The sequence below is a fragment of the Homo sapiens genome, chromosome 6 (assembly GCF_000001405.40).
Source record: "Homo sapiens chromosome 6, GRCh38.p14 Primary Assembly".
NCBI classification, from domain to species: Eukaryota; Metazoa; Chordata; class Mammalia; order Primates; family Hominidae; genus Homo; species Homo sapiens.
Window position 1 is genome coordinate 27,661,412 of NC_000006.12, and position 12,837 is coordinate 27,674,248.

At 43.4% G+C, this 12,837-nt stretch overlaps 1 long non-coding RNA gene and 3 other non-coding genes across 4 annotated transcripts, besides 5 other annotated features; 1 reads left to right on the forward strand and 3 right to left on the reverse strand.

The window, feature by feature from the left end:
• Window positions 1-5,560: 5,560 nt before the first annotated feature.
• On the reverse strand, window positions 5,561-7,162 carry LOC124901292 (uncharacterized). The gene is made up of 2 exons (XR_007059535.1): window positions 6,937-7,162; window positions 5,561-6,717 (listed from the first exon to the last, which is right to left on the reverse strand). It is a non-coding gene; the product is annotated as an uncharacterized LOC124901292 (long non-coding RNA).
• Window positions 7,030-7,548: a transcriptional cis regulatory region, noted in NCBI's record as "candidate enhancer chr6.1279 targeted for multiplex CRISPR interference". NCBI's record gives its function as "positively regulates ZKSCAN8 gene expression with high confidence in K562 cells {active_cell/tissue: K562}" and the evidence as "EXISTENCE:mutant phenotype evidence [ECO:0000015][PMID:30612741]".
• Window positions 7,108-7,390: a silencer, noted in NCBI's record as "fragment chr6:27636298-27636580 (GRCh37/hg19 assembly coordinates)". NCBI's record gives its function as "represses an EF-1alpha promoter that drives an FKBP-Casp9 reporter gene in an ReSE screen in HepG2 liver carcinoma cells {active_cell/tissue: HepG2}" and the evidence as "EXISTENCE:reporter gene assay evidence [ECO:0000049][PMID:32094911]".
• Window positions 7,137-7,326: a silencer, noted in NCBI's record as "silent region_17033". NCBI's record gives its function as "represses an Ori minimal core promoter by ATAC-STARR-seq in GM12878 lymphoblastoid cells {active_cell/tissue: GM12878}" and the evidence as "EXISTENCE:reporter gene assay evidence [ECO:0000049][PMID:35858748]".
• Window positions 7,172-7,245, forward strand: TRI-AAT8-1 (tRNA-Ile (anticodon AAT) 8-1). The gene has a single exon. It is a non-coding gene; the product is annotated as a tRNA-Ile (tRNA).
• Window positions 8,359-8,653: a silencer, noted in NCBI's record as "tiled region #12122; HepG2 Repressive non-DNase unmatched - State 4:PromP, and K562 Repressive DNase matched - State 5:Enh". NCBI's record gives its function as "represses a minimal TATA promoter and a strong SV40 promoter by Sharpr-MPRA in HepG2 and K562 cells {active_cell/tissue: HepG2 | K562}" and the evidence as "EXISTENCE:reporter gene assay evidence [ECO:0000049][PMID:27701403]".
• Window positions 8,487-8,536: a silencer, noted in NCBI's record as "silent region_17034". NCBI's record gives its function as "represses an Ori minimal core promoter by ATAC-STARR-seq in GM12878 lymphoblastoid cells {active_cell/tissue: GM12878}" and the evidence as "EXISTENCE:reporter gene assay evidence [ECO:0000049][PMID:35858748]".
• On the reverse strand, window positions 9,154-9,226 carry TRR-ACG2-4 (tRNA-Arg (anticodon ACG) 2-4). The gene has a single exon. It is a non-coding gene; the product is annotated as a tRNA-Arg (tRNA).
• A 1,812-nt stretch (window positions 9,227-11,038) lies between these two features.
• Window positions 11,039-11,120, reverse strand: TRS-CGA3-1 (tRNA-Ser (anticodon CGA) 3-1). Its single transcript has one exon. It is a non-coding gene; the product is annotated as a tRNA-Ser (tRNA).
• Between the last annotated feature and the right edge of the window lie 1,717 nt (window positions 11,121-12,837).

Genomic DNA, 12,837 nt, shown 5'->3' on the forward strand with positions numbered 1-12,837 from the left:
TCAGCCTCCCGAGTAGCTGGGATTATAGGCACCGGCCACCACGCCCAGCTAATTTTTGTTTTTTCAATAGAGACGGGTTCCTCCATGTTGGCCAGGCTGGTCTCAAACTCCGCCCACCTTGGCCTCCCAACGTGCTGGGATTACAGGCATGAGCCACTGTGCCTGGTCGATATTGTATTAATATTGATTCATTCATTGTAACCACTGTACCACATTAATGCAAGATGTTAATGTTAAAAACACTTTGCACACTAGCTCAAAATGAAGTTAGGGAAGGGATTATATGGGAATTCTGTATTTTCTGCACAATTTTTATATACATCTAAAAATGGTCTAAAATATAAAGTTTATTTAAAAAGGTAAACATGGCCTGGCATGGTGGCTCAAGCCTGTAATTTCAAAAGCCAGCACTTTGGGAGGCCAAGGTGGGAGGATCACTTAAGGCCAGGAGTTCCAGACTAGCCTGGGCAACGTAGTGAGACCCTGTCTCTACAAAAATTTAAAAAATTAGCAAGACATAGTGGGACTACACATCTGTAGTCCCAGCCACTCAAGAGGTTGAGGTGGGAGGATTGCTTGAACCCAAGAGTTCAAGGTTGCAGAGAGCTACACTTCAGCTTGGGAAACAGAGACCCTGTCTCAAGAAAGGAAAAGAATAATAATAATAATAATAATAATAATAATAATAATAAAAGTAAACACAATTTCTTAGAGCTGCTAGCAGCTGTAGTTAAAAAAAAAAAAAAAAGAAAAGAAAAGAAAAAAGGCGGCCGGGTGCAGTGTCTCAAGCCTGTAGTCTCAGCACTTTGGGAGGCCAAGGCAGGCTGATCACCTGAGGTCAGGAGTTTGAGACCAGCCTTGCCAACATGGTGAAACCCCATCTCTACAAAAATACAAAAATTAGCTAGGTGTGGTGGTGGGCACCTGTAATCCCAGCTACCTGGGAGGCTGAGGCAGGAGAATTGCTTGAACACGGGAGGCGCAGGCTGCAGTGAGCTGAGATGGCGCCACTGCACTCCAGCTTGGCGGACAAAGCAAGACTCCATCTCAAAGAAAGAAAAAAAAAAGGTAAACATAGGCGGATAGGGGATAACATAATTGTAAATGACCTTAGCTGTTTAAAACATGGACTTCAATTATCTTAAATTATCAAGGAATTAGAAGAGCTACTCCTAATAGTTAAATTCTGCCATTTTTTAAAGGTAATTAACTGAATTGTTATCACAGTGGCAAAGCATGAGAGGTAATTAACTGAATTATTAGCACAGTGGCAAAGCATGAGAGGTAATTAACTGAATTGTTAGCACAGTGGCAAAGCGTGAGAGCTTTTGAAAGGGGTTGAGGCGTGGATTTAGATTTATCCATAATACCAAGTTAAACAAAAGCCACCAACAAAACCAAACCAAGGGAGCCCTCAAAGAATCAAAATCAAATCCTTACTGTGCTACCACAGACAGATGCCTGTAGCTCAGGGGTCAGGAGCTGGCCTCAGTGTGAAATCCCCAAGTTGCCAGTCAGGGGAGGACCAGAACAAGCTAGAGAGGATTTAGTGCCTGAGTGAAGAAGATGGATGTCTGAGGGAGGCTTTCACTCCTTTGTGACTCACAGCACTAACACAAAGACCAAACTCGGTAAGTGAGGAGGTTGATTTCTGTCTTTGGTTATTACAACTGGGAGAGCACTCTGGATCTGAAGATCAGAGTGTACTCTGCAGGATGGTTTTGCTTAGACTTTTATAAAGAGAGGTAGATAGTAAAAAAGATCAGTGGTTGCCAGGGAGTTGGGGAAGGTGTGGTACAAATAGGTGGAGGAAGGTGAGGTAAAAATATAACTTCAAAAGTTATAGGTGACGTTATTTACATTTGGAATTACTTGTGAGGATGATTATATGCTGAGTCCTGTGAGCCCTTCTAGCCAATCATTGAACCTAGGAGTGAGTCTTGGAGACCTGCAACACAGAGACAAACAGTTCTAATTTTAGCTAATCACTCATGAAACAGAGAACTGGATTGGCTAGGAAATAAAAGGGAACGGTCTGCCTATCAGCAGGTTCAGGCAAAAGGGGAAGGTTTGTGTCCGGGCGTGGTGGCTCACGCCTGTAATCCCAGCACTTTGGGAGGCCGACGCGGATGGATCATGAGGTCAGGAGATCGAGACCATCCTGGCTAACACGGTGAAACCCCCGTCTCTACTAAAAATACAAAAAGTTAGCCGGGCGTGGTGCGGGCGCCTATAGTCTCAGCTACTCGGGAGGCTGAGGCAGGAGAATGGCGTGAACCCTGGAGGCGGAGCTTGCAGTGAGCCGAGATCGCGCCACTGCACTGCAGGACTGGGAGAGTGGGAGAGAGAGCGAGACTCCGTCCCAAAAAAAAAAAAAAAAAAAAAAAGAGGAAGGTTGTGTTTGGCTTTGTCAATAACTAAATAGTATAAAGTTTTACATTACGTAGGAGGTAAGGTTTGTCGACTTCAACTATCTCATGTATTTTAATATAGTATATGCCAAATTATTATTCTTTTAATTATCCAAATAATGGCTATTTTCTGAATATAAATATTCTACACAATACAGGAAAAACAGCAAAAATATCTCCTCACCTGCAATGCCACTCCCTTTCTCAGAAATAATTACTATTCCTAGATTAGTGTGTTTAGCCTTATATTAGGTAGAATTTGCCAAAAAGAAATGTATATTCTCAAGTAAATATATGTGCATAATACTTCATTTTTCCTAAAACTCAATACTTCCGGCCAGGCGTGGTGGCTCACGCCTGTAATACCAGCACTTTGGGAGACGAGGCGGGCGGATCACCTGAGGTCGGGAGTTCGAGACCAGCCTGACCAACATGGAGAAACCCCATCTGTACTAAAAATACAAAAAAAAAAAAAAAAAAAAAAAATCTTGGCGTGGTACCGCATGTCTGTAATCTCAGCTACTTGGGAGGCTGAGGCAGGAGAATCGCTTGAACCCGGGAGGGGGAGGTTGCGGTGAGCCAAGATCGCGCCATTGCACTCCAGCCTGGGCAACAAGAGCAAAACTGTCTCAGAAAAACAAAAAAAAAAAAAAAAAGAAAAAAAAAAGAAAAGAAATTATCCCAGATGGTGGTGTCTGGTGGTGTCTTCAATTCTAGGAAGCATCCCATTTCAGCAGGAAGTTTTGAATCACAAAATCCCTATGCCCATCCAATTAATTTCCTAAGGAACCACATATGTTTTACTTTCTCTGAAATATAGCACCCAGAAGGGAAACTAGGAGGGTGTTCATGAAGGGCGATTTGAAAGCAACTGACAAAAAAAAAAAAAAAAAAAAAAAAAAAAAAAGAATAAAAAAAAAAACCAACTCATTCCTTATAGATGGCCGAAATAGCTCAATTGGGAGAGTGTTAGACTGAAGATCTTCTGCAGGTCTCTGGTTCAATTCCGGGTTTCGACAGCTGTTTCCGGACTCTTTTGTACATGTCGACTCTGCTAAATTAATGTTTGGCCGCGTTAACTGTGTAATACTGGCCCTCCACCAAATGTCAGCCATCTACCAATATGTAAGTCCATATTGACATTTAATTTATATGGTAAGGGAATACATGCATTTGCCTTTATAATGAAAAGGGCTCTTGTAAGTCATTTCACAAAACGCAGTTCCACGCCCATAAACATGAGCTCCTCCACAGGTTTTAGTAATTCGTTGAGGGGAAGAAAGCAATCTTATTCAGTACCTCATTCAGTGTGCACTTACATGTTTTTTTGCTTGTTTGTTTTTCAGATGGAGTCTCGCTCTGTCGCCCAGGTTGGAGTGCAGTGGCGTGATCTCGGCTCACTGCAACCTCCGTCTGTTGGGTTCAAGCAATTTTTTTGTATTTTTAGTAGAGACGGGGTTTCACCATGTTGGCTAGGATGGTCTCGGTCACCTGACCTCGTGATCCCCTCACCTCGGCCTCCCAAAGCGTTGGGATTACAGGCGTGAGCCACCATGCCCGGCCACACTTACATGTCATGATGTTATGAAACACATAAGAATCAGGGCATAAGCACTTTTTTTTTTTTTAAGACGGAGTATCGCCCAGGCTGGAGTAGCCCAGGCTGGAGTGCGGTGGCTTGATCTCGGCTTACTGCAAACTCCGCCTCCCGGATTCAAGCGATTCTCCTGCCTCAGCCTCCCGAGTAACTGGGATTACAGGGGCCCTCCGCCACACCAGGCTAATTTTTGTATTTTTTTAGTAGAGACGGGGTTTCGCCTTGTTGGCCAGGCTGGTCTCAAACTCCTGACCTTAGGTGATCTGCCCGCCTCGGCCTCCCAAGGTGCTGGGATTACCGGAGTGAGTCACGGCGCCTGGCCAAGCACTTTCAGTTCTATGCTTAACTCCCTGTGTTTCTACTTTCACTCAGAATTTGGTCTGTTAAATCCTTAAATTATTATCAGCACTTTGAATTTTTTTAGAAGCTTTGCTTGTTTTGTACAGCATTTTAGTTGTTTTCAGTTGCAGGGACAGTCCCAGTGCATAGCTAGTCATTTTTACTGTGCAGAGACGCAAGAGAGGACATATTAAAAATAACCTGAATTTTAGTAATACTAAGGCTATATGTGATTACACACACACACACACACACACACACACATATATGCGCATATATATATTCACATTGTAAAATAAATGAGCTGGGCACAGTGGCAGGTGCGGGAGCACAGTGGCCCCAGATACTTGGGAGGCTCAGGCGAGAGGATCACTTGGTTCTATAAATCAAGGCCAGCCTGGACAACACGGTGAGGTCATCCACATTTCTTTAAAAAAAAATTGTTAGTATTGATTCAGTATTTTTCCTGAGGCAGTCTTAGAAAATTAAAATAACCTAATCTGGAATATAACATAAATATTTTGAAATTATCTTACATGGTCAAGATCGGTGGCTCATGCCGGTAATCCCAACACTTTGGAAGGCTGAGGCGGCCGGATCACCTGAGGTCAGGAGTTCGATAGCGGCCTGGACAACATGGTGAAACCCCGTCTCTACTAAAAATACAAAAAATAGACGGGTGTGGTGGCGGGCGCCTGTAATCCCCGCTACTTGGGGAGGGCTGAGGCAGGAGAATCGCTTGAGCCCAGGAGGCGGAGGCTGCAGTGAGCCGAGATCGCTCCACTGCACTCCAGCCTGGGCGACAGAGACTCCGTCTCAAAAAAAAAAAAAAAAAAAAAAAAGAAAGAAAAAGAAAACAATACATATATCTTACAAGACACTTGTGACAGATGTTCCGCTGTGTTGCCTATAATGCAGGTGAAGATAGTAATGATATGCTTGATTATGCATAGATTATTTTAGGGAAGATAAGAAAGTAAGAAATTCGATAGTCTCTGAGGAGGATATGGGGATAGTTAGGATCTAGGATTAACGGAGATTTGATCCTCATTTTATATCATGTTTACGGTTAAGGAAGGACAGAAAACCTTGTATTGAACTCCTCTTTTTGTCTGGAATTACTGCTGGTAACGTTAACACATAGTATTTCATTTGAAGCAAAGTAAAGAATAATACGGTTTTTGGATCCGGGAAACACAATTGAAGGTGGGGGTGGGGTAGAAGAACAGATTTTAATCTTAGGTGTTACTAGCAAAAAATGTGATTTCTCTAGTCCCAGGTGCAGATTTTCTTCAATAGTATTTGGTTTTCGTTACAAAAGAAAGAGCAAGTACCCAGGCTGGTGCTGTTAGAGTCAGGACAGCATGAAGAGCTCTGCCTACCAACAAGCCTCAGGACAGAGTACAGGAATGTTAGAAGATTAGCTCCCATTTATCTGAAGGAGAAAAAAGGGTAATCCTTCCGGTGTTGATGTCATATATGACAAGTTCATTCCCTTGGTATGGCTTTACATGTGAACTTCGGAGGTATATAAACACCAGTCAGAATGTGCAAGAGGGATCCTCAAAAGCCAGAATGTAATTCCTTGCGACCGGTGAAGAGGATGTGTTACTGCAGGAACTGTATCAGAGAGTTTACTTTCAGGTGATTTTTGAGCAAGTAGAAGCCTCAGTTCTTGACACCTAGGATAAAACCTCTTGAGGACTAGAAGAATGAAAAACATCGAAGCTCCTGGTGGTACTTCGGTCTTTAACCGTTGAATACATTAAGAGTAACACTGGAATTCCAACACTTCCTCGCGCCAGCGTCAGTTTTAGAATCAACAAAATCGTTACTTGCTGATTCATTTAACTGCTAATATATTCGTTAAAAGTTTATTAGGCGTCAGTGATCTTGAAAGTTCCAAAAACACGAAGGAAACCCCAGGCACATGTAGAGAGATAGTTCCTGACGCTGCAGGAGGTTTCTTTCAACTTGTCTCCAGGTGATGAAACCAGTAGCCTGACCAAGGATGAAAGAGCGTATCTCACTTATTCTGGCCTCTCCAACTCGGGCTGAAATCCTTCGGTTCCCAAGTTAGAATTTGAGTGACACACAGCAAGTGCTGTTAAATGAGACTTAATACCTAGCGGGGTGCCACCACAACCTTGCCCTTCTGCAAACCTCTGTAGCCCTTTTCTACCACCCTCAAAAAACATACCAGATTTACTATGTAATTCCGGTACTGCTGGGCTACCTCAGTTTCCACCCCTGAATATCTTCGCCGATTACATCAGTGCTTATGTTTGTGACTTCAGAGACACTGAGAAGGCGCGGCTCTTTCCCTCAACCCCATTCGCCTTCCTTTCGGCGGCGTTGTCTTGAACCAACCTGAAAATAATAAGTCCTTAAGTTACAAGTCACTAAAGGGAAGTTTGCAACTTGCGATCCAGTACACTGACATGACTCTAAAAAGAGAAGGCTGCCGACTCTGGGCGTACTGCCTTTGAATTAGCCATACTCCGCAAGGAGCAGTGCCGTTCAAAAAAAAAAATTTGTTGTCTAACAACAACAAAAATAAAATAAAAAGAGGAGGTTCCCTTCACTCACCATTGAAAATCCTATTACAGCGCTTTTTCCACATCCTCTGTCAAAAATTTCTCCGTGAATTTTCTAGTCTGGCTCAGAGTTAAAATAGTTTGGACTTCCTTGCTAAAGTCTGTAAATATAGTCTCAAAGGTCTCTTGAAAGGAGTAAGAAAGAAAAAAGTTCTGTTTTATTTAGAAAAACAAAAATATCAACGAATTTATATATGGTTTCCTTTAAAACAGCAGCGCATTCGTGTGGCCGGTTAGCTCAGTCGGCTAGAGCGTGGTGCTAATAACGCCAAGGTCGCGGGTTCGATCCCCGTACGGGCCACTGGATGCCATAGTGGGGCCCTTCACTTACCTGAAGGGAGGCCTTTTAATTTAAGCCTGTCGAATCACAGGTGCTCCGAATCGAATCCCAGGTGCTCTGAATCCGAAATTAAGACGCCCTCTTATTCGTCAAGCGAGAAGGCTATTTACGTTCGTTTCCCTTTATTGTGAAAAATGAAAAGAACAGGCCGGGCACGGTGGCTCGAATCTGTAATCCCAGCACTTTGGGGGGCCGAGGCGGGGTGATCATTTGAGGTCGGGAATTGGAGACCAGCCTGACCAATATGGTGAAACCCCGTCTCTATTAAAAATACAAAATAAGCTGGGCTCATGCCTGTAATCCCAGCTACTAGGGAGGCTGAGGCAGGAGAATCACTTGAGCCCGGGAGGCGGAGGTTGCGGTGAGCTGAGGCCGTGCCATAGTACCCCAGCCTGGGCCTGGGCAACAAGAGCGAAACTCCGTCTCAAAACAAACAAAGAACAACAAAAAAGATGCAAGCATTAGGAAGAATGTACTGAAGAAAATTGGGTTGGAGTAGTGCGGCAGCTAGGTGGGTGTGTTTTAGGGAATGGGGAATTAAGAAGAGATATGACATTTGCCTGTTTAGTTTTTAGTGAAACGTTAGGAAGCAATATATACTTTTTTCTATTTTTTTCATTCTCAATATTGAAAGGGAGACAATATTATTTTGACGCTTTAAACGAGTTTCGATAGGGAAAGGAAAGCAGGCTCAGCGTGGCCAGTGACTTGGTGAGAGTGTGATACTAATAGCAGCAAGATACGAGGTTTTGTTCCTCGCAATGGCTGTGCTTCATTCTTTTTTTCTGATCCCAGGCAGTTTCCAAGGCAAATAAATGCCCACACCACGTGAGGCTGCCACTGGCTTTCACGGAAAATTTCTCCCCTTTAGCTTAAAGAGTATATAAGTGAATGCGGTGTTTTAAGAATCGCCAGTTCTCCGTTCAACTTGGCCACAGCCCAACACATTTGGACTACCAGGTTTGTGGTTTCATTCGTTTACCCGCAGTGCCCCTGACAGCGCATACTGGTAAGTGACTAAAGTAAACTCACCTGAGATGCAGAGCGAAGATCCAAGCTACACGTTCGGAAACCGAGCCACATATTAAGATGCTCTTTTGGTTTAGTTTGAGGAATTTTCCCCCGCTTGACTGTGGTTGCCTCCCAGCCTCTCTCTCCTCCACCATCTTCCTGGTCGCTGAGAAAGGAGGTCCTTCTGTTCAGACACCGCCCCAAAGCTGCCACCTTCCACACTCATCTTCTTCTGGGATATCTGTCTATCTGTCTGTCTGTCTGTCTGTCTATCTCTGTCCCTGCCGATTCTCCTGTCTTCTATTTCTCTAGGATCTCAGGGCGGAGGAAAAGTGGTGGGAACCTGGGAGGCAGAGAAGAGGCCCGTGGCGGGAGTGGTGGATTGGGGCGATGTTGAGGCTGAGGTGGGTCCACCGACTTCAGGGTTGAGCTCTGTGTAGGGGGCCCAGCTGATGCAAGGAGCAGCTTGCATCCTGCATCCCCACAGCCCTGCCTTTATGATTCAACGTTTCTTCAGATGTCCCCTTTCTTTTTGACAACAGTCATGCCCAGGGAAAGAGCTGTGCCTCAGAGACGCCAGGAATGTGGACTTCTCCCAATGGAAAAAAATACCGATGAAGAAGATATACGTGAAAAAACATTTTTTTAAAGCTTCTTTGATTTTTAAGCTTTCTAATGGTCTTTTTCTCCTTTCTCCTTTCTCCAGTTGAGAATGAGATGAAAGGTAGAAACAAAATCCTGTAAGTTGGCTCTTTCGACGCTTGTCTCTTTCACGTTCAAGTAACAGCACCACTCTGGAAAAGGACATTCACAGGATTGTTAATACGGCTTTGAAGAAGGAAAAAGTGAGAGCACAAGCGAGCCAGCCAGGAGTCGAACCTAGAATCTTCTGATCCGTAGTCAGACGCGTTATCCATTGCGCCACTGGCCCCTGCCTGTAACGCTGTCTTAACTGTTACTCTTTTCATAATTATATTGTATTATACTATTGGGGCCAGAAAAAAAAAAGATTGTTTCTTTATTTAGGTAGGGATTAAAACCCCAAACCACACTGATTCAAGGAAAGCATGTTTTCTTTTGTGGTTTGTTGGCATAATAGACATTCACATAAAGTGTCTTTATTGAAAATAATGACCATTTTTCATCTTTGAAACATTATATATGAGCTAAGATGAATGTCTTTCCTTCAAAGCAATATTGGTGTTTCTATCTTCTCTTTCATGTGTGTGCCTACTTTTTAGCTTTTTGTTACTTATTTTTCAGGCCAATCAGCTGCTTTTACCTGAATTTGATTTTTTTTTTTTTTTTTTTTTTTTTTGAGTCGGAGTTTCGCTCTTGTTGCCCAGGCTGGAGTGCAGCGGCGCGATCTCGGCTCACTGCAACCACCGCCTCCTGGGTTCAAGTGATTCTCATGCCTCAGCCTCCCAAGTAGCTGGGATTACAGGCATGTGCCTCCATGCACGGCTAATTTTGTATTTTTAGTAAAGACGGGGTTTCTCCGTGTTGGTCAGGCTGATCTCGAACTTCCTACTTCAGGTGACTCGCCCGCCTCGGCCTCCCGAAGTGCTGGGATTACAGGCGTGAGCCACCGTGTCTGGCCTGAATTTCATTTTTAATATACTTACATTGGGCACTAATGATGTATGTGGATCAGTAATGAGCAATATGTATTATTTTAAATTTAGATATTGCCAAAAGTAAAGTGCTTTGTAATACATTTCTGGAAGTATTAATCATAGTTTTTCCCTCTTCTCGTCCAAAAGGAAAAAACAAGTACCCACTCACTAGGGAGAAGTTTATTGTAAAATGGTATTACAACTCAAAGTAGCAGATGAAGACACTCAAATTTAACGAGGAGTCAAGAATTCGGGAAAGTACACATTTTTCAGAATCACATTTGACATAGAAACTTAGAAAAAGGAACTTTACTTGCATAGCTGTTCAAAGTAAGCAAAATAGTGGAAAATGAAGAAGTGCTTATAAGGAGACGAAGTTTCGTATGGGTTTAAGAAGGTGGTCAGAAGCCAAAATATATCCTCTTTGTGCCTCTGTTTCCTCGTTTATACAAAACGCTTTGAAGAGCAACTAATGCATATGACGGATTGTTATCATCCTAATTTTTTTGGCTCCCACCAGCTGTGAGATCAGGACAAATACAAAGTAAAGATTGCTGCCTGAGAATGCTTTAAGAAAGCTGTCATACTAGTAATCTAAAAGGGAAATTGTATTCCTAATATTTTCAACGTTGCACCTGTCTTGTATTTGCCATTATGATTAGATGTAAGACAACTAGTATCTTCTTTTTCTTTGAGACAGTCTCACTCTGTCTCCCAGGCTGGAGTGCAGTGGCGCGATCTCGGCTCACTGCAACCTTCGCCTCCCAGGTTCAAGCGATTCTTCTGCCTCAGGCTCCCAAGTAGCTGGGACTACAGGCGTGCGCCAGTAAGCCCGGCTAATTTTTCTGCATTTTTAGTAGAGACGGGGTTTCACCGTGTTGGTCAGGCTGGTCTCCAACCCCTGACCTCAAATGATCCGCCCGTTTCGGCCTCCCCAAGTGCGGGGATTGCAGAAGTGAGCCACCGCGCCCGGCCTTCAAATGTACATATTTCTTGATGTACATTTCCACAAGTGTGCGCGCGCTGTAAAAGCCACAGCGATAGCACTCACAACTTTCTATCCTAGTGAACTAATGAAAGCTAACTGATGAAAGTAGCAAATTGGAAATCTAACCAGAAAATGGCGACGCTGTGAGCAGGATTTGAACCTGCGCGGGGAACCCCCATTGGATTTCGAGTCCAACACCTTAACCACTCGGCCATCACAGCTCCGAGGACACTTTTTGTTTCAGAGGAAGTCGTGTTAGGCTCTTTGACTCTCTCGCTTTTTAATGTTCCCACGGCAGGTTAATGCTTCCGTGTTTGTATTTGTCACTTTTTATATATTTGTCTCTCTCTTTCAATAAGAAGTTCCTGGGAAACATAATAGTGTCTTAATCTTTACTTGTTATCTGACTCTCTATGCATCAGAAACTTATTTGGTGCTTAGTGGCTGCTTTTGTTGCTGGAACAAATCCCCGGAGACTCAGTTGTCTGTTCCCTATTCCTCCCTCCAGTTCATGAATTTTCTTCTCTCTTTACCCAGCACATGTTAGAGTCACGTTCTTGCTGCACTCTCAATTTCCCTGCCTCTCTCACTTTGTACTCCTTTGGCAAAGCCACAACCAGGGCAGCTAAACATGGCGGAAGAAAAACAATCAGTTGACAGACCTCACTTTAAATTCATGACAATGAATGTCAAGTAGGTGCTCAAGGCTACCAGGCAAATTGTACCATACGCGATTAGATTAGTCCACTCCCAATCCTCTTGTTCTAAGTCACTGTTTCAGCCGGATGCAGTGGTCCAAGCCTGTAATCCTAGCACTTTGGAGGCCGAGGCGGGGGGGGAGATCACCTGAGGTTAGGAGTTCGAGACCAGCCTGGCCAACATGGCGAAACCCCATCTCTACTAAAAAAAAAAAAAAAAAAAAGCCAGATGTGATGGCTCGCGCCTGTAATCCCAGCTACTCGGGAGGCTGAGGCAGGAGAATAACTTGAACCTGGGAGGCGGAGTTGCAGTGAGCTGAGATGGCGCCACTGCCCTCCAGCCTGGGTGACAGACAGTGAGACTCCGTCTCAAAAAAAAAAAAAATAAGTCACTATTTCATATCTCTCATGCCAATGCTCCAACACCTCCTCTCCCATCCTTGTGTTCAATTGATGACTTTACTTCCTACTTCACAATCAGAAGAGACCTTCCACGCACATCTATCACCACATTAATCCACCTACCAGCCTCTGAAGGACTGTCAGTGATCCTATAATGCCTTGACAAGGTCGCCGATTATCTCCACATGGCTAAAATCATTTCCCAGTCCTCACCTTACTTGGGATAGCTGCAGCTATTAATACATTCTCCTTCTTACAACACTTTCTTCAATTGACTTTAGGGTAACAATTTTCCTGGTTGTCTTCCACTTAGTAATAAGCATTTAAGATTCCTCCGTGTCTTTTCATGCTTTAATAACTCATTTATTTTTAGGGCTGAATAATATTCCATTGTCTGAGGTACCGTAGTATATTTATTCATTTACCTACTGAAAGACATATTGGTTACTTCCAACTTTTGGCAATTATGAATAAAGCTTCTATAAACATTTATGTGCAGGTTTTGTGTAGACATGTTTTCAGCTCCTTTGCATAGTTGCCAAGGGGTGTGATTGCTGGATCATATAATAAAAGTATGTCTAGTGTTGTAAGAAACCACCAAACTGTCTTCCAAAGTAGCTGTACCATTTTTCATTCCCACCAACAATGAATGAGAGTTTCTGTTGCTCCATAACCTCACCAGTGTAGGTGTGGTCAGTGTTCCAGATTTTGGCCATTCTAATAGGTGGGTAGTGAGTGGTATAATACAATTAAAACAATAATACATCTGTCTGTTTACATATAATGTGGAGCATCTTTTCTTATGCTCATTGGCCATCTGTATATCTTCTTTAGCAAT